This window comes from Homo sapiens, chromosome 20 (assembly GCF_000001405.40).
Source record: "Homo sapiens chromosome 20, GRCh38.p14 Primary Assembly".
Classification (NCBI taxonomy): domain Eukaryota; kingdom Metazoa; phylum Chordata; class Mammalia; order Primates; family Hominidae; genus Homo; species Homo sapiens.
Window position 1 is genome coordinate 18,403,964 of NC_000020.11, and position 19,256 is coordinate 18,423,219.

The 19,256-nt window shown below is 40.2% G+C and overlaps 1 protein-coding gene and 1 pseudogene across 31 annotated transcripts in view, besides 2 other annotated features; both read right to left on the reverse strand.

Annotated features, from left to right (window-relative positions):
• Positions 1-19,256, reverse strand: part of DZANK1 (double zinc ribbon and ankyrin repeat domains 1) — an 83,664-nt gene that overhangs the window by 20,597 nt on the left and 43,811 nt on the right. For 23 of the 31 annotated variants that reach the window (XR_007067462.1, NR_160273.1, NM_001367617.1 and 20 more), the window contains 3 exons: positions 11,364-11,486; positions 10,385-10,549; positions 8,683-8,890 (listed from right to left, as the gene is read on the reverse strand). Coding sequence is in view for 28 of the 31 variants with exons in the window: in NM_001367617.1 (NP_001354546.1) it covers positions 8,683-8,890; positions 10,385-10,549; positions 11,364-11,486 (496 nt within the window). In the remaining 3 variants the exon portion in view is untranslated. The remainder of the gene's footprint in view (positions 1-8,682; positions 8,891-10,384; positions 10,550-11,363; positions 11,487-19,256) is intronic. The other 8 variants (NR_160274.1, NM_001099407.2, NM_001351684.2 and 5 more) reach the window with 1 other exon arrangement.
• Positions 8,619-8,668: an enhancer, noted in NCBI's record as "active region_17584". NCBI's record gives its function as "activates an Ori minimal core promoter by ATAC-STARR-seq in GM12878 lymphoblastoid cells {active_cell/tissue: GM12878}" and the evidence as "EXISTENCE:reporter gene assay evidence [ECO:0000049][PMID:35858748]".
• Positions 9,539-9,588: a silencer, noted in NCBI's record as "silent region_12702". NCBI's record gives its function as "represses an Ori minimal core promoter by ATAC-STARR-seq in GM12878 lymphoblastoid cells {active_cell/tissue: GM12878}" and the evidence as "EXISTENCE:reporter gene assay evidence [ECO:0000049][PMID:35858748]".
• Positions 16,014-17,665, reverse strand: GCNT1P1 (glucosaminyl (N-acetyl) transferase 1 pseudogene 1; annotated as a pseudogene).

Genomic DNA, 19,256 nt, shown 5'->3' on the forward strand with positions numbered 1-19,256 from the left:
TAATTTTTGTATTTTTAGTAGAGATGGGGTTTTGCCATGTTGGCGAGGCTGGTCTCAAACTCCTGAGACGGCCCACCTCGGCCTCCCAAATTGCTGGGATTACAGGCGTGAGCCACCGCGCCGGGCCACAGATTCTTAAACTTTCTTAGAACATTATGAGATTTTTTTTTTTTTAGCTCAACAGCTACCATTAGCATTAGTGTATTTTATGTGTGGCCCAAGACAATTCTTCTAGTGCGGCCCAGGGAAACCAAAAGATTGGATACCCCTGCTGTAAAGGATGCCAAATTTAATTAAACCAGTCCGTGAAGCAATTTATGCCCCAGGTCATGGTTGAAAACAATACAGGAATCATCCAACAATAAGCACAGCTTAATGGCTAGGTGTGGTCAGGAAAGAGACAAAGAGAGCCCTGCCAAACCACCATCATCCTGTGGTGACAGGGTGCATGCCAAGGCTACACTCTCCATGGAGTCACATCAGAAGCTTCATACTGTGGGGGTGAAATAGAGTTCACTAAAATGAACAGACAAACAGACAAACAAATAACAATAACAAGCCTGGAAGATAGGTCAGTACCCAGAGTTGATACAATATATTATCTAACACATCCAGTTTCCAACAAAAAAATCATGAGACATGCAAAGAAACAGGAAACTCTGACCCAAACACAGGGGAAAAAACATGCAACAGAAACTGCCTGTGATAGCAACTAGAGTTGAAGATTTAAGACTTCAAAGCAGCCATTATAAATATGCTCAAGGAACTAAAGGAAATCATGCTTAAAAGGAGTAAAAGAAGAGCCAGGAGTAGTGGAATGTACATGTAGTCCCTGCAACTCGAGAGGCTGAGATGAAAAGATCTCTTGAGCCCAAGATTTGGAGGCTGCAGTCAGCTATAATTGCACCACTGCACTCCAGCCTGGGTGACAGAGCAAGACCTTGACTCTTAGAAAAAAAAAAAAATAGAAGAAATTATGATGCATTTCAGAAGGCTGAGGTGGGAGGATTGCTTGAGGCCAGGAGTTTGAGACCAGCCTGGGCAATATAGTGAGACCCCATCTCTACAAAAATTTTTTTTTAATTAGCCAAGCATGATGGTGTGCACCTTTAGTCCCAGTTGCTTGGGAGGCTGAGGCAGGAGCATTGCTCAAGCCCAGGAGTTTGAGATTGCAGTGAGCTGTGATTTGTATCATTGCACTCCAGCCTGGGTAACAGAGCAAGACTCTGCCTATAAAAAATAAAAATAAAAAAAGAAGGAAGAATTCTTCCTGAAATAAGAGAATATAAATAAACACATGAAAGGAAAACCAAATAAGAATATGTAGCAGAAAAGTACAATAACTAAAATAGATAATTCACAAGAGGCGCTCAACAGTAAATGTGAAGTAGGATAAAAAAGAATTAGCAAACTGAAAAATAGGTCAATAGATATTATACAACGTAAAAAAAAGAGAGAAAAAGGAATGAAGAAAAATGAACAGAGCCTAAGAGACCCATTGGAAGCTATTGAGCATGCCAACATCTACATGAGAATCCCAGAAGGAGAAGAGACAGAGAAATGGGACAGAAAAAAATATTTGAAGAGATGATTGCCAAACCCTTCCCAAATTTTATAAAAGACATGAATTTATACATCCAAGAAGCTCAAAAAGCTGGAGGTGGAGCAAGATGGCAGAAAAAGCCTACATCATTCATCCTCCCTGCTGGAACACCAAATTTTAACAACTATCTGTACTCAGAAAAGCACCATTACATGAACCAAAAATCAGGTGAGCAATCACAATACCTGGTTTTAACTTCATATTGTGAAAAGAGGCATCGAGAAGGGCAGGAGAGACGGTCTTGAATCACTGATACCATCCTTCCCCATCCCCCAGCAGCAGCTATACAGGATGGAAAGAGAATGTGTGCACTTTGGGGAGGGAGAGCACAGTGACTGGGGGACTGTACACTGAACTCGGTACTGCCCTGTCACAGCTGAAAATAAAGCCGTGCTGGGCTCAGCCAGTGCCCGCACATGGAGGGAGCATTTGGACCAACCGTAGCCAGAGGGAAATTGCTCATCCTAGTGGTCTGAACTTGAATTTCTCAGCAAGCCTCGCCACTGGTGGCCGAGGTGCTCTGGGATCATAGGTAAACTTGAAAGGCAGTCTAGGACACAAAGACTGAAATTCCTAGGCAACTCCTAGTGCTAGGCTAGGCTCAGAGGCAGTAAACTCGGGTGGCACGTGACCTAGGGAGACACCAGCTGGCATGGTTTAAGGAGGACTTGTAATATTCCTTCTCCAACTCCAGGCAGTGCAGCTCATGGCAACAAAAGTGACTCCTTTCTACTTAAGGAGAGGAGAGCAAGGAGTAAAGAGCACTTTGTCTTGTATCTTGGATACCAGCTCAGCCACAGTAGGACAGGGCATAAGGCAGAGCCGTAAGGCCCCCCTTCTAGGCCCTAGCTCCCAGCTGACATTTCTAGGCAAATCCTGGGCCAGAAGGGAACTCACTGTCTTGAAGGGAAGGCCCCAGTCCTAGCGGGATTGATCGTCTGCTGACTAAAGGGCCCCTGGGCCCAAATAACCACCAGCAATACCCAGGGAGTATGCTGTGGGCCTTGTGCTCTAATATGTGCTAACTTCAGGGAAGACCCAGCACATTCCAAGTTGTAGTGGCTATGGTGCAAGACTCATTCTGTTTGAGAAAAGCAGAGGGAAAAGTAAAGGGGACTTCATCTTGCACCCTAGGTACCAGCTTGAACACAGTGGGGGAGAGCAACAAGCAGGCTCTTGGGGTCCCTGAGTCTAGGCCTAGGGCCTTGGACAGGATTTCTGGATCTGCTCTGGGCCAGAGGGGAGCCCACTGCCCTGAAGGGTGAGTCCCAGGCCTGGAAGCATTCACCACAAGCTAACAGAAGAGCCTTTGGGCTTCAAGCAAACATTGGCAGTGGCCTGGCAGAATCCCCTGTGGACATGTGGACCAGTAGTGGTGGTGGCCACAGGGAGAGGTTCCTCTGCCTGTGGAAAGGGGAGGGAAGAGCAGGAAAGACTTTCTATGATTTGATTGCTTAGCTGCAATATAATAGAACATCAAGTAAATAATTATGTTTTTTTACTCTAACCCTTGGCTCCCGACAGCATCTGTGGACATGCTCAAGGCCTGGTAGAACTCACCACCTGGAAGGTTAGGACCTTGGGCAAGGCCCAGTGCTATACTGGCTTCAGGTATGACCCAACTCAGTCCCAATAGTGGTGGCCACAGGAGTGCTTGCATCACCATACCCCTAGTTTCAGGTGGCTCAGCACACAAAGAGAGACTGTATGTCTGGGAAAAAGAAGGGAAAATAACAAGAATCTCTTCCTGGTAGTCCAGATAATTCTTCTGGATCTTATCTAAGACCACAAAGCAGTACCTCTACAAGTCTGCAAAAATCACAGTGTTATGGGGCTTGGGGTCCAAGTCCCTTCGAATACCTGGAAACCCTTCCCAAGAACAATAGGCACAAACAAGTCCAGACTGTGAAGACCTCAATAAATACCTAACTTTTCAAGGCCCAGACACTGAAGAGCATCTACAAGCATCACCAGCATTCAGGAGAACATGACCTCACCAAATGAAATAAATAAGACACCATGGACCAATCCTGGAGAAACAGAGATATATGACCTTTCAGACAGAAAGTTCAAAATAGCTGTTTTAAGGAAACTCAAAGAAATTCAAGATAACACAGAAAAGGAATTCAGAATTCTGTCAGATAAATTTAAGAGAGTTTGCAATAATTAAAAAGAATCAAGTAGAAATTCTAGAGTTGGAAAATAGAACTGACATGCTAAAATATGCATCAGAGTCTCTAGATAGCAGAACTGATTAAGCAAAAGAAAGAATTAAAGTGAGCTTGAAGACAGGCTATTCAAAAATACACAGTCAGAGGAGACAAAAGAAAACATAATAAAAAACAACAAAGCACACCTATAAGATCTAGAAAATAGCCTCAAAAGGGCAAATCTAAGAGTATTTGGCCTTAAAGAGGAGGTAGAGAAAGAAATAGGAGTAGAAAGTTTCTTCAAAGGGATAGTATCAGGCCAGATGCGGTGGCTCACACCTGTAATCCCAGCACTTCGGGAGGCCAAGGTGGGTGGATCATTTGAGATCAGGAGCTCGAGACCAGCCTGGCCAACAGGGTGAAACCCCATCTCTACTATAAATATAAAAATTAGCCAGGCATAGTGGCTCACGCCCGCTATCCCAGCTACTTGGGAGGCTGAGGCAGGAGAATCGCTTCAACCCAGGAGGTGGAGGTTGCAGTGAGCTGAGATCACACCACTGTATTCCAACCTGGGGGACAGAGTGAGACTCCGTCTCAAAAAAACAAACAAACAAACAAAAAAACCAAATGGATAGTATCAGAGAACTTCCCAAACCTAGAGAAAACTATCAACATTCAAGTACAATAAAGTTATAGAACACCAAGCAGATTTAATCCAAAGAAGACTACCCCAAGACATTTCATAATTAAACTCTAAAAGGTCAAGGATAAAGAAAGTATCCTAAAAGCAGCAAGAGAAGAGAAACAAATAACATCCAATGGACCTCCAATACCTTCAGTAGCAGGCTTTTCAGCAGAAATCCTATAGGCCAGGAGAGAGTGGCATGACATATTTAAAATGCTGAAAAAAATTAAAAAAGTTTTACCCTAGAATAGTATATGTCTGGCAAAAATATCTTTCAAACATGAAGGAGAAACAAAGATCTTCCCAAAGAAAAGCTAAGGAATTTCATCAATACCAGACTGTTTACAAGAAATGCTAAAGGGAGTTATTCAATCTGAAAGAAAAGGATGTTAATGAGCAAGAAGAAATTATCCGAAGGTCCAAAATTCATGGGTAATAGTAAGCACACAGAGAAACACAGAATAGCATAACACTGGCATTGTGGTGTGTGAACTTCTCTTGACTTAAATAAAAAGACTAAATTATGAACCAATCAAAAATAATAACTACAACTTTTTAAGACAGTACAATAACACTAAAGAGAAAAAACAAAAAGTTAAAAAGCAGGGGGGATTAAATCTAGAGTTTTTATTAGTTTCCATTTTGCAAGTTTGTTTGTTTATGCAATCAGTGTTACTATTATGCATTGCATGGCTCTACCAAAATATCTCACGTACCCCATAAATATATACACCTACTATGTACCCACAAAAATTTTTTAAATAAAAAATTTAAAAATTTTTTAAAAAGAAGCTCAACAAGTTTCAAGTAGGATAAACCCAAAGAGATCCACAGCGAGACACATTATCAAACTGTTGAAAGAATATGACAAGAAGAGAATCTTGAAAGAAGCAAGAGAGAGGTGATTCCTAAGGTTCAAGGGATCCCCAGTATATTAACAGCAGAACTCTCATCAGAAATAACGGAGGCCAGAAGACAGTAGATCAACGTATTCAAAGTGTTCAAAGAAAACAACTGTAAAGCAAGAATCTTATAGCTAGTAGAGTTTAACAAAAACAGAGAATTCATTGCTAGCAAATCTACCTTATAAGAATACTTATGAAGTTCTTTAGGCTGAAAGCACATGACCCTAGAGAGTAATATGAATACACACACACACACACACACACACACACACACCACCACCACCACCATCACCACCAGTAAAGGTAATTATGTAATTATAAAAGACATTATAAATGCATATTTCTTTTCCCTTCTTCTCAACAGATTCAAAAAGAGAGTATGTAAAACAATATGAATATGAATATAATTATACAGTTTGGCCTATAACATATAGAAATAAGATATATTGACCAATAACAACACAAAGAAGGTGGGTGAGGCCAGGCGTGGTGGCTCACGCCTGTAATCCTAGCACTTCGGGAGGCCAAGGCGGGTGGATCACGAGGTCAGGCGATCGAGACTATTCTGGCTAACACAGTGAAACCCTGTCTCTACTAAAAACACAAAAAATTATCTGGGAGGCTGAGGCAGGAGAATCGCTTGAACCCAGGAGGCGGAGGTTGCAGTGAGTCGGGATCACGCCACCGCACTCCAGCCTGGGTGGCAGAGCGAGACTCCGTCTCAAAAAAAAAAAAAAAAAAAAAAGGGAGGTGAGTAAGAGCAAAGCTTCATTGGGCTTAGGAAATAATCCAAAGGAATAAATTAAGAGAACTATAAATGGGGGAAAAGAAGGCTAATATAACAAAAGCCATAAATAATAGTTCTTTTTTTAAAAGACATCATGTTATAACTAATAATTGTAACAGTGTTTTGAGAGTTTATAACATATATGTAAACATAAACATAATGTTATATTAGAAAATAATGCCACAAAAGTTGGGAAGAGGGAATTGAATTATAGGGGTAGAATTTATATATTTCATTGGAATTAATTTAGTATAAACTTGAAGTATAGTCTGTTAAGATGTATGAGGAAAACCCTATAGTAACCACTAAGGAAATAACTCAAAGTATGTAGTGAAAAAGTCATTAAATAAATCAAAATGTTACACTGGAAAATATGCAATGCAAAAGAAAGCAGTAAAGGAGCAACAGAGGAACAAAAAAGGCATTTAGAAACATTTGGAAAACAAAAAGCAAAATGATAAGTCCAACTTTATCAATAATAACATTAAATGTAGATGGATGAAACAATCCAATTTAAAAAACAAACAAACAGGGATTGTCAGAATGGACAAAAAACCCTGATTCATGGTGCTGGACACAGGGGCTTATGCCTGTAATCCTAGCACTCTGGAAGGCTAAGGTGGGAGGCTTCCTTGACACCTAGAGTTTGAGACCGGCAACACTGGCAACACAGTGTCACCCCATCTCTACAAAAACGTTTAAAAATTATCCAGGTGTGGTGGCTTGTGCCTGTGCTCCCAGCTACTCAGTAGATTGAGGGAAGAGGATCACTTGAACCCAGGAGGTCAAGGCTGCAGTGTGCCATGATTGTGCCACCGCACTCCAGCCTGGGTGACAAAGTGAGATCCTATCTCAAAAGAAAGAAAGAAAGAAAATGAAGGTACACCAAACTTATGGGACGCAGTGAAAGCAAAGCTCAAACAGAAATTTATAGCAGCAAATGTTCACATTCTGAAGAAAGATCTCAAAATCATCACCCTAATCTTTGACCTTAAACGAGGAAAAGAAGAGCAAAGTCAACTTAAAGTAAGAAGAAAGAAGGAAATCATGATGAGAGTGGAATTTAGTGAAATACAGAATATAAAAATAATAGAAAATCAATAAAACCAAAAGTTGGTTCTTGGAAAAGATCAATGAAATTGATAAACCTTTAGTAAGATTGACCAAAAAAAGTGACATCTCAAGTTACTAGAATTAGAAATGAAATAGGAGATGTTATCACCAACTTTATTGAAATAAAAAAGATTATAAAAGAGTATCACAAACAACTGTATGCTAATAAATTAATCAGATGAAATAGATAAATATCTGGAAAAACACAAACTACCAAAACTGATTCAACAAGAAATAGAAAATCTGAACAGACCTATAAAAAGTAAAGAGTAATCAGAATTGCCCACTAGACAAACATCAGATCCAGATAGCTTCACAGGTAATTTACCAAAATTTAAATAATAGTTAATACCAATTCTTCATAACCACTTCAAAAAAAAAGAAGTGTTTCTATAAGGCTACCATTATCCTGATACCAAAATCAGACAGACAGTAGAAGGAAAGAAGAAAACTGCAGACTAATATCTCTTATAAATATAGACACAAAAGTCTTCAAGAAAATACTAGCAAACTGTCTTAGTCCATTTGTGCTGCTATAAACAAAATACTTGAGACTGGGTAATTTATAAAGAACAGGAATTTATTTCTCACATTCTGGAAGCTAGAAGTCCAAAATAAAGGTCCCTGCAGGTTAGGTGTCTGGGGAGGGCCTGGTCTCTCTGCTTCCAAAATGGTGCCTCGTTGCTGCATCCTCCAAAGGAGGGCAACGTTGTGTCCTCACATGGAGGGAGGGCCAAAGGACAAAAAGGGGCCTTAACTCATTCCCTCCAGCCCTTTCATAAGGCACTGATCTATTCATGAGGGCTCCATCCTCATGATCAATTTCCAAAACGTCCCGCCACTTAATACCACCACAATAGAGATTAAATTTCAAAATGAAATTTGAAGCATGTAGCTGGGACCACAGGCATGCACCACCACAAATGACTGCTTTAAAAAAAAAATTGTAGAGACAGGGTCTCACTTTGTTGGCCAGACTAGACTCAAGAGATCCTCCAGCCTTGGCCTCCCAAAGTGCTGGGATTGCAGGCATGAGTCACCACAACTGGCCCAAATTATAGACTTAAAAATAGTCAAAATGGTGAATTTTATGTTATTTAAATTTTACAATTAAAAAAAGGGATAATGGCAGATAGCAATAGCACTGTGCACTAACAACATGCCGTCACGACAAAAGAAACCCACATGCGCCATGTGACTGAGGAACTAGACTACAGGGCTATGAGCTAAAACATCAGAATACTGAAAGTTTAAGAAGGAGCTTACAGGAAGAGCTTCTTTTTCCAATACAAAGAAAATTACTTGAAAAAGAGGAAAAGAAAGAAACTTACTTCTTACACATACAAATAAATCTAAAAGGAAGAGAAAATGAAATGTTCTTTCACAGAAAGAGTGAATTCCCTCCCGACCAGAAGAAAGGGCATCCTCCCCCTTACCTCTTCCTGGGCTGATGGCTGTCAGGAGGGGTTTATGGTCACTCATTTTCTCCTGCCTCTGCTTTTGAGAGGCTAGTTCCTGTTCCTTTTTTGCTAGCAGCTTGCCAGATGGGTAGAAGAGGCCAACAGTCTGTGTTCCTATGTCCCTCTTAGTCCCAACATCAGATCTGGGCAAAGGAATATTCAGGGACTGCCAGGCACATCGGGGCCATGCGTGAGGCAGAAGACATTTTTAAAATTAGAATATAATTTAATCAATCTTGCATTTTACTTATAGAAAACAACTCTAATCAGAATAAAAAGTATCTCAAGAAAAGTGTACTTGGAACTAATAGGGTTTTCCAGCCTTTGCCTCATCTTCCTTGCTCCTGTCTTTCTCAGCAACTTCCAGCCTGATCCAGGATTAGCCATTTATTATCTAAAAGTCAGCAAATCAAGGGGTGTTTGCCGGCCTGCTTGATGCCTGGAAGATATCTATCCTTTTCAGCTCTGTAATCCAATAGAGCATAGACTTCACTACTAATCCACACTCAGCCACTGGTCACCAACATTTTCTCTAACATACTTTCCTGCATCTAAACCTGGGGACCTGAGAGGACTACCATGAAAGGTTGTGCGTTGCACAACGTCACTGCATTCAAAGTAGTACCATTCATATGGTGAACATCATATATTTGCATATGTATTAGGGTAATTTTTCTAGTAGAGAAACCAGTATATTACAAGCAATTTCCAATAGATGGCAGTCAAGTGTCTTGAGAAAAGAACACCTTTGTTTCATTTGCACAAAGGAATAAGGGCTAGTGGCAGTTTAGGATTTAAATCTTTCAAACTGGGTTAAGAAAGCCATGAACGGCTGGGCATGGTGGCTCATGCCTGTAATCTCAGCACTTTGGGAGGCCACGGTGGGTGGATCACGAGGTAAGGAGTTCGAGATCAGCCCGACCAACATGGTGAAACCCCATCTCTACTAAAAATACAAAAATTAGCCGGGCATGGTGGCACGGGCCTGTAATCCTAGCTACTCAGGAGACTGAGGCAGAAGAATTGCTTGAACCTGGGAGGCAGAGGTTGCAGTGAGCCAAAATTGCACCATTGCACTCCAGCCTGAGCAACACAGCGAGACTCTGTCTCAAAAAAAAAAGGTCATGAACTCCCTAAAACTGCATACAAAGTGCTGAGTGTATCCTCTAATAATGATCAATCTTTAACTTCTTATAATAAAGAGATAAGAAGAAACATGGAAAGTCTTTATCCAGCTTAGAGAAATGTATAAAATTATAAAAATCTAACACAAAGCCAGTTGTTAGAGCTTAAGTACTTCTGAAAATAACCTGGTGAGATTTGTCCTCAAACTATGCCCAGCTGTTATAAATTACAAAAGCAATCTTATATACCCTAAGCTTTCTAAAATATAAAAAAGGGGAAGGAAAAGTTCTCAGAATGCTACATAAGAAATTCAAGAGAAGTGCATTCTGTCTCATGTATTTTAAAGCCACTAAAGTGGCATTATGTCTACGGCCTTGCAAATGCAATTAAAATCTAAATTGACTGCATTTATTTACACACCTAGTTGAAATTCCATGTGAAAGTTCTAAAAGTTTTGGGTCTCTTCCCCGGGTTGATTCACAGGGTGGAGCACACACATTCAGAGTTACAGCCTCTTCCTGGGTACCAGTTCTTACTACAGGGGAGGCCTCACCTCAGAAAAAGGGCGAGGTTCCTCAGCAGCTAGAGCCAGGCTTCTGTCCAAGCTAAGTTTCACTAGGGACTTCACACAAATACCACAGGAGCCACAGAATCGGGCAGACAGGTGATTGCTGGCCCCACATTTAGGGCAAACAGAACAGCCAGCAGGAATGCCGAGCTAGAGGATAGAAAATATCTTGATGAATATTAGAGTTATAATTTCCTCATGTAAATTATTCTCATACCATACAAATTAACATATGCCCAGACTCTCTGACCCAGCCATTCTACCTTCCAGAATTTATCCTACAGATGGACAAGTACAGAAAGAAGTGTACTCCAGGTCAACCCCTAAAACACTGTGGTTTTAAAAGAAATCACTGAAAACAACACACATGTCCAGCAATAGGGATGGTCTAAATATAACACAGTACATACATACAAACAATGGATTATGAAGTCACTGAAAAGAATGAGGAGGTTACTAACAAGACACCTTGCTAGGTGAAAATAATTGGGTCAGTGTTCATAGCACCAGTTTACTTATACATGCATTGAATAGCTGAAAGAACATCTCAAGAACTGGATCTGAGCAATTGCTTCTGAGAGGAGAACTGTGGGACTTAGAGAGAGAGGAGACTAACCCTTCACTCTAAAACTTTTTTGTTATTTGCATGCGATACTTAAATAAATACATAGTCTTGAGTGTTTTATTATAAAGGCAGGCAGACATAATTCATTTTAAAAAATGCCAGTAGTCAATAAACGAGTGAAAAGGTTTAACCTCAAAGAAATGCAAGTCAAAACAGTCATCAGAGATGGCTCTCAGTGTAAGATAATTAATTATCTCTATCTCCAGATTCTTAGGTTATAGGTACCAGTAGCGAAATCACAAGAAGTGATTTCTGCAAGGCCATGGAAGAAGTGCCTGGCTCTCTCCAGGCCAGTGGTGAGGTGCTCAGTATACAGAATCTCAGTTTTAAAATACCCACCATGGCTCCACACCAGCCGCAGAAGGACGCCTCCCAGAGATTCCAGCGACCACATCTGTAGCAGGAAATGGTCCCCCCTTTCTGAGTGGGCGGAGGAGGGGCTTTATCCCCACTGCACATCGACTGGTGAATGAAATGGCATTTAAAGGCAGGATCAGTACTATATTCTCTAATCCCCCTCCCAATTCAAAAAAGATAAAAAATTCCCAGACAAGATGAGCCCCGGAAATAGTGTTTTTTTTGTTTTGTTTTGTTTTGTTTTTTTCCCAAAGGAGTACAGCTATGATGAGTTTCACCAATTAATAAATTAGTACATAGAGCTCACATTCCTTCATGGAGATAACAGAAAGTCAATGAAACTGGTACCTTGCACATCTTAATATTTTTCAATATCTTTAATATCAGGGATAGCAAGCCCTACTGTTGATTTAACAGAACAATATTAATGAAGGAAGAAGAGAGCTAAGCTACCTGAGCGGTCATGATTGAGGCTTATCTTCTATCCTTTGGAGTTTTGGTTTCCATAGAAAAATGTGACTTCATTTCCCATTCTTGACACATGAGAACAATTATTTTATATTGGGGACAGAGGCAGAATTGTTTTGTGAGAATTCCTGGGACTATGTTAGGTAAACCTATATTTGAATCTGTTGCTTCCTCACTATTGCCTGGTAGGAGACTTGCTCACTTCCCAAATGGGAGTGACAGCACAGTGGCTGCTACCTGACCACCCACCATGTGCAGGCTCCATTCCCACACTGCCCTGCACCCTCACGTCAGTCCCACTGTAGACCTGGGAGGTGGGTGCTGTCATTGTCCCCATCTTACAGAGGGAGAGCTTGGGGACACAGAGAGGGTGAGATGCACGATTAGAGCCATCTGACTCTAAAGCCTGGCTTCTCTCCCTGACTCCATACAGCCCCTTCAATACAATAGCTTACTCCCAGGTCTGTAGGGAGTTTCAGACGATTACCCACAGTTAAGTGGATAGGAATGCTTAGCACAGGGCCAAGCTCCACCGGCCAGCTTCCTTCCGGTCCCACCTTCCTTTCCACTAGACCCTGATTTCTTCAGGAGAAAGGACTATAATTTCACTTTTATTCCCCGCACTAGGACAGTCCTGGTACCTTGGCACATGGGAGTCATTCAAAAGGTTTTACTGAGTCAATGAATGACTGATTCAATTGGTAACTGAATGTGTATTACCACATATGCCAGGCACAATACTAAGAACACGCACACCAGGGAAAACATTTGCTAAGGGCACTTTTCCCTAAAGACACACATTTTAGTTCACTCTATCTGCCCAGCTCTATCCCGTTTTGCTTCAGGGACCGCTCTGTTATCTAGAATAGAAACCTACTCAAGAGAGGCCACATCAGCCCCCAGCATTCATAGACACCCGAGAACAGAGGGCCTCTTTGTGTGCGCTTGCCTTCATTTCTGTGCAATTAGAGGGAAACTCCTTCAGGTAAATCAAAGAGAAATTCTCTGCAAACTTTTGCTTCAGAACTTACATTTCAATTATCCTATTCTTAAAACAGGATTTTGGCATAAAGGTTGCTGACCTTGGTTTCTAAATACAAAGCCTTCAGACTTTTCATTGAAATGTACTGACTGTTCAAGTGGCTTTTAAACATAACATTGCTTTAAAGAAAGAAAAGTTATCTTTCTGGTAGTCTTACTGATCAAAAAAACAAAAAAAAACAAAAAAAAAAAAGAAGAGAAAGAAAAGTTATCTTACCCCATCATATTAATGCTGCTAAACAAAGAAAAGACATAAAGCTATCAGAATGAACATGCATTGTTACTTCTATGGACTACAGAGATAAGTATTATCCTGTGGCATCTAAGCTCTGATATACCATTCAGATAGAAATACAATTTTTAGAACAAATTCAATTTTGGGATTGTTCTGAAAATAGTTTTGTTGATAGATGAGACCCAGAAACAGTTACATCACTGACAGTTAACAAAATCAATTTAAATGGTTTTATTATTTACATAAGAAGTCCTGAATGCCTGAGGAAAGGATGTCTGAGAAAATCTTTTGCTGGCAATTTACTGAAATCTATCTGTAAGAATATTTCAAGAATTCCAGAAGTTCCACTGTTTTCTATTTTTATGCTTTCCCAATCTCACTATTACTCTCTCTGGTGCCTTGGAAAAAATTATAGAGTGTCATTTTATGATGAGAGAGTGATATCAAGTCTAAAACCACATTAATAGACAACTCTCAACAAAAGAGAACCCTAAAATTACATCAGCTTTGATGTGGAAATAGATGTGTTTTCTGATGAAATTCAACACCTCATTAGTTTGTTTTTAGTCTCAGTTCTGAAAAAGAAACACATCGTATGTAACAGAAATCATCTTTTTTTAAAAAAAACTACAGATTTTTCCTTCTGGTAATGATAGCATAAGACCATAATAAATGACTCCCACACAAAAAACAACTATAAAATCTGCTGATAATAGGCCGGGTGTGGTGGCTCACACCTGTAATCCCAGCACTTTAGGAGGCTGAGGCGAGTGTATCACTAGAGGTCAGGAGTTCGAGACCAGCCTGGCCAACACGGTGAAACACCATGTCTACTAAAAATACAAACATTAGCCGGGCGTGGTGGCACATGCTTGTAATCCCAGCTACTTGGGAAGCTGAGGCAGGAGAATCACTTGAACCCAGGAGGCAGAGGTTGCAGTGAGCCAAGATCATGCCACTGTACTCCAGCCTGGGCGACAGAGCATGACTCTGTCTCAAAAAAAAAAATCTGCTGATAATACATGAAGGCAGTAGAGAATGAACAGAAGCAGGTAGAGTTGCAGCAAGTACATACAAGCAGGAGGGGAGTTATACAAAGTCAGTTCCCATCGTCACAGTTTTCAGCCTGGAGCTAAGGGTAGTCTACATAGCGCATGTGAAGCGGTGGGCACAAGGCAGTATTTCTGGCCAAGAGAACCAGAAAACTGAAGCTGGGGAATATTTGGCTGCTGAAGAGGCAGGGAGCTCCCAGAAAGAAACAAGAAAGAGAGAAGATCTTCTCTGTGTATTCAGATCTTTTACCAATCCTTGAACAACATATGTACAGAATAGGCTTGAAGCAGTTCAGCTAAAGATAAAATATCTGAATGGAGACCAAACTTTCTGTCCCTCCTCCCCTCAAATTTTTTTCTTGGTATTCAGTATGTTGAGGAATTTTAAATTGTACCCTAGCATTATGAATGTTCAGCTGTGGTACTTTCTAGATTCTGTTACTCTGGGGATTTTGTTGTTTGTTTGCTTTGTTTTAGTAGGCAATGATATATATGCTTGCTTTTGGGGAATGTGCTGCCTGGAACAAACTATAACTAGTGCTTCACACACAAAATTGATCCTAAGATGAATCAGATGTTGAAAGAAGCAAACCAGAAATTTAAAGCATATTCTGTCCACAATGAATAAAAAGAGGAAATCTCAGCAAAGAAATAGAAACAATAAAAACAGAAACAAGTGAGAATTCTGGAATAGAAAAAGATAATATTTAAAATAAAATATTTACTAGACGGACTGAATAGCTAAAGGAGATGGTAAAGGAAAGTGTAAGTGAACTGGAGGATAGATCAACAGAAATCATACAATGTGAAGAGAAAAAAAGATTTTTAAAAAATGAACAGGACTGGCGCGGTGGCTCATGCCTGTAATCTCAGCACTTTGGGAGGCCGAGACAGGTGGATCGCTTGAGGTCAGGAGTATGAAACCAGCCTGGCCAACATGGTAAATCCTCGTTTCTACTGAAAATACAAAAATTAGCCAGGCTTGGTGGTGCACACCTGTAATTCCAGCTACTCGGGAGGGTGAGGCAGGAGAATCGCTTGAACCTGGGAGGCGGAGGTTGCAGTGAGCTGAGATTGCGCCACTGCACTCCAGCCTGGATGACAGAGCGAGACTCCATCTCAAAAAAAAAAAAAAAAATGAACAGAACCTCAGGGACTTATTAGATAATATCAAACAATTCAACAGGTGTGTACATGGACTTCCAGACGGAGAGTAGAAAATGAGTGGAGTAGAAAAATAAAGAAATCATGGCCGAACAATTCCTAAATCTGATGAAAGACAGAAATTTACAGCGACAAGATTCTAAATGAACACCAACCAGAATTACTTCACACTAAAGCACATTATAGCCAAACTGCTGAAAACCAACAATAAAGAGCAAATCTTAAAAGCAGCAAGAGAAAAATGACACATCCCGTACATGAAAATGTCAATTTGATTTACATTTGACTTTTGAGCAGAAAGCATGGAGGCCAAAAGAGTGTGGAACAGCTTTAAAGTTCAGAAAGAAAATAACTGTCAGCCCAGAATTACATATTCATCAAAAATACTCTTTGAGAATGAAGTTGAAATAAAGACATTTTCAGGTAAAAGAGAACCAAGAGAAATCACTGCCAGCAGACCTGCACTCTAAGAAGTGATAAAGGGAGTTCCTCTGTGTGAAGGGATATGATACCAGACAGAAACTCAGGTCCACAGAGAAGAGTAAAGAACATCAGAAATAGTAAAAATAAATATTGGTGTAAATACAAAAAAAAAAACAAACAGCTTTATCTTTTTGGTTTTTTCCTCTTAATTCCCTTACAAGCCCTTATAATTGTTTAAAGTAGAAATTATAACACCTTTCTAGCCAATTGTACTCTGCAGAAAACATGCAGCTTCTCTGACATGAAGATTTAAAGTCCCTGCCCCAAATAGGACCCCAAACAACTTTTCTGATGCTTATTGACAAGGAAGATGAATGAGATAGCGGGCATTTTGTGCATCCTTCTTCTTATTCGCAAAATTGCTAATAATGGTCAGTGTTTTAAAGTCTCCAAAGCTTTATGCCTCAGATGCTCATCCAAACACTAGGTGGCAAGGAGGTCAACATCCATGTCAAACGTATAAGCTTGCACCCATAGGTGTTTACACAGCATCCAGTTCAAGCTGCTGGCTCCGAAAATGCATGCTGAGTGCATGGAGACCCCACTGCAGGGTGGGTAGGGAGCATCCTTGAAAACGTCATCCTCAGAGTACTGCCACTTGACAAACCTAGCAACGGCATGCATTCCAGACAACTTGTACTTATGGCTTAAGGCGAATGAGCCAGGGACTTCAGCGATCCTTCGGATGATGGCCTAGAGATACTTATCTGGGCTGTCTGTGCCTCGCACCCACTCCATAAACTTTTGGGTTTTTTCATCCTCTAGCACATGCCCCACATACTCCCTACTGACCACAAAATAGGCACTGCCTGAAAAAATGGGTGCTTCCAGCGGAGGATGCCCTTTGACAGTCCCCACATGTGTCAGCTTTCCATTAATATCTGCATACCACTTTTTCCACCTTTCTTCTTTATTGGATGGCATCCTCTTGGCTTTGAGACTGTCTTCACCCATTAACAACTTGAGCTTCCTAACAATTTTAGGTTGGTTTTAATAGGAAAATCCATACTACAAACATGTATTAAGTACTTCCAGTCTGCACTCACTGTGCAGAGGTCCCTCATGCAGTTGAGGTCAGCCAGAACCCGACTCCACAAGGCATAAACCAGACTCTCCAACTGACAGGCCACAAAGATGTTACTGAAATGACCCAATGCCCATCACTGCAGCTAAAAAGGAATCTGCTGATTTTTTTTGTCCACATGAATGCAATAGAAATTCTGAGGCATATAGATGGCTCTCTGGAGCCTGTCAAGCGTTTCAGTTTTATAATGAACCAGTATAGAATATGCTATTGGAAACCTCACCTCTTCCTTCTTAAGGGGTTCTACAATATATCTACATCTCTTGATGAAAGAAGTACATGAAGAAGTACATAACTGGTCATGTTTATAAAGCCGTCAGGTATACACCAAGGGCACTTAGTAAATTTCACTGTTAGCATCTCAAGTTTTACCTTTTGGATTTCATCTACATCCCCCCCGTAAAACTTTGGTGCAATTAATATGACTACTAGGATTCTCTCCAACAAGCTCCACATATGTGACGCTTACAGATTTGGACTTTTGATGAATCCTTAAAACGGAGGTGACTAGGGAAAAAATAAGAACCACAAAGTGGTATTTAGTGGGATAAGAAAAATGTCTCCACAGCAACTGCCTCAGCATTTCAAATGCCAATCAGGGACTTTGCTTGGTTAAGGGCAGTCTTCTAGGCTTTAAGCACCAACTATTTCCCCTCCATTGTGCCTTGAGGGTTGTCAGTTTGCATTTATCAGAAGCTCAAAGGCACCTTGAAATGAAGAATGCCGCATTTAGAATTAAGGAAAGTCCAGATCACTTAGGACTCTGATTCCAGGTGACATCCTGCACTTATTCCAAGTACTTTTCATGCTGTCAGGCATCTTAAATGTACTAGGCATCCAGGAATAATGGTATGTCCCATAGGCTTTTGAAAAAATCTCTCCCTGGGTGGCTTGCAATGCTCAGCTGGATTTGCAGGTGCCTCATCCACCCTGGAGCATCATCTGGCCCCAGAGCACAGCAGTTTGCCCTACCATGCAGCTTCTGCTAGCAGAAGCCATGCAGGACTGCTCCCTTTGCCCATTTTTAATGGCATTATTTGTTTACTTACTATTGAGTTGTTTGAGTTCCTTATATGTACTGGATATTAATCCCTTATCAGATGTATGGTTTGAACATATTTTCTTCCATTCTGTAGGTTGTCTCTTAACTGTGTTCATTGTTTCCTTTGCTGTGCAGAAGCTTTTTAGTTTGATGTAATTCTGTTTGTCTATTTTTTGCTTTTGTTGCCGGTGCTTTGGGGGTCATATCCGAAAAAAATCATTGCCCAGACTAATGTCATAAGCTTTTTCCCTATGTTTTCCAATAGAAGTTTTTCAGTTTAATCCATTTTGTGTTGATTTTAGTATATGGTGTGAGATAAGGATCTAATTTCATGCTTCTGCATGTAAATATCCAGTTTTTCCCAAACCACTTATTGAAGAGACTATCCTTTCCCCATTGTGTGTTCTTGGCACTTTTGTTGAAAATCAATTGATGGTAGATGCATGAATTTATTTCTGGGCTCTCTATTCTTGTCCATTGGTCTACATGCCTGTTTTTATGCTAGTACCATGCTGTTCTGATTACTATATGCTGAATATCTCTAATCTGAAAATCTAAAATCTAAAATGGTCCTAAATCCAAACTGACCTATGTGATGGGTCACAGTTGAAATGCAGTCAAAACTTTGTTTCATGCACTATGTTATTTAAAATATTATATAAAATTACCTTCAGGCCATTTGTATAACGTGTATAAGAAACATAAAGAATTTCATGTTTAGACTTGGGTCCCATCATCAAGATATCTCATTATAAATACATAAATATTCCAAAGTCCAGAAAACCTAAAATCCAAATACTTCTGGTCCCAACTATTTCAGATAAGTGATACTCAGCCTGTATAGCTTTATAGTAGCTCAGGAAGTGTGATGTCTCTGGCTTTGTTCTTTTTTTTTTTTTTTCTCAAAATTGATTTGGCTATTCAGGGTCTTTTGTGGTTCCATACAAATTTTAAGATTTTTTTCTATTTCTGTGAAAAATGTCAGCAAAATTTTGATAGGGATTGCATTCAATCTGTAGATCTCTCTTTAGGTATTATGGACTTTTTAACAATATTAATTCCTCCAGTCCATGAACATGGGATATCTTTCCATTTATAGTCATGCACGACATAATGATATTTTGGTCAATGATGAACTCCACATATGACAGTGGGCCCCATCATATTTTATAGAAGCCAAAAACCTCTATCACCTTGTGATTTGTATTACAAGTGCCTAGAACACTGAGTAAAGTTTGCAACCTAGGAGCAATAGGCTATACCAGATAGCCTAGGTATGCAGTAGGCTATACCATCTAGGTTTGTG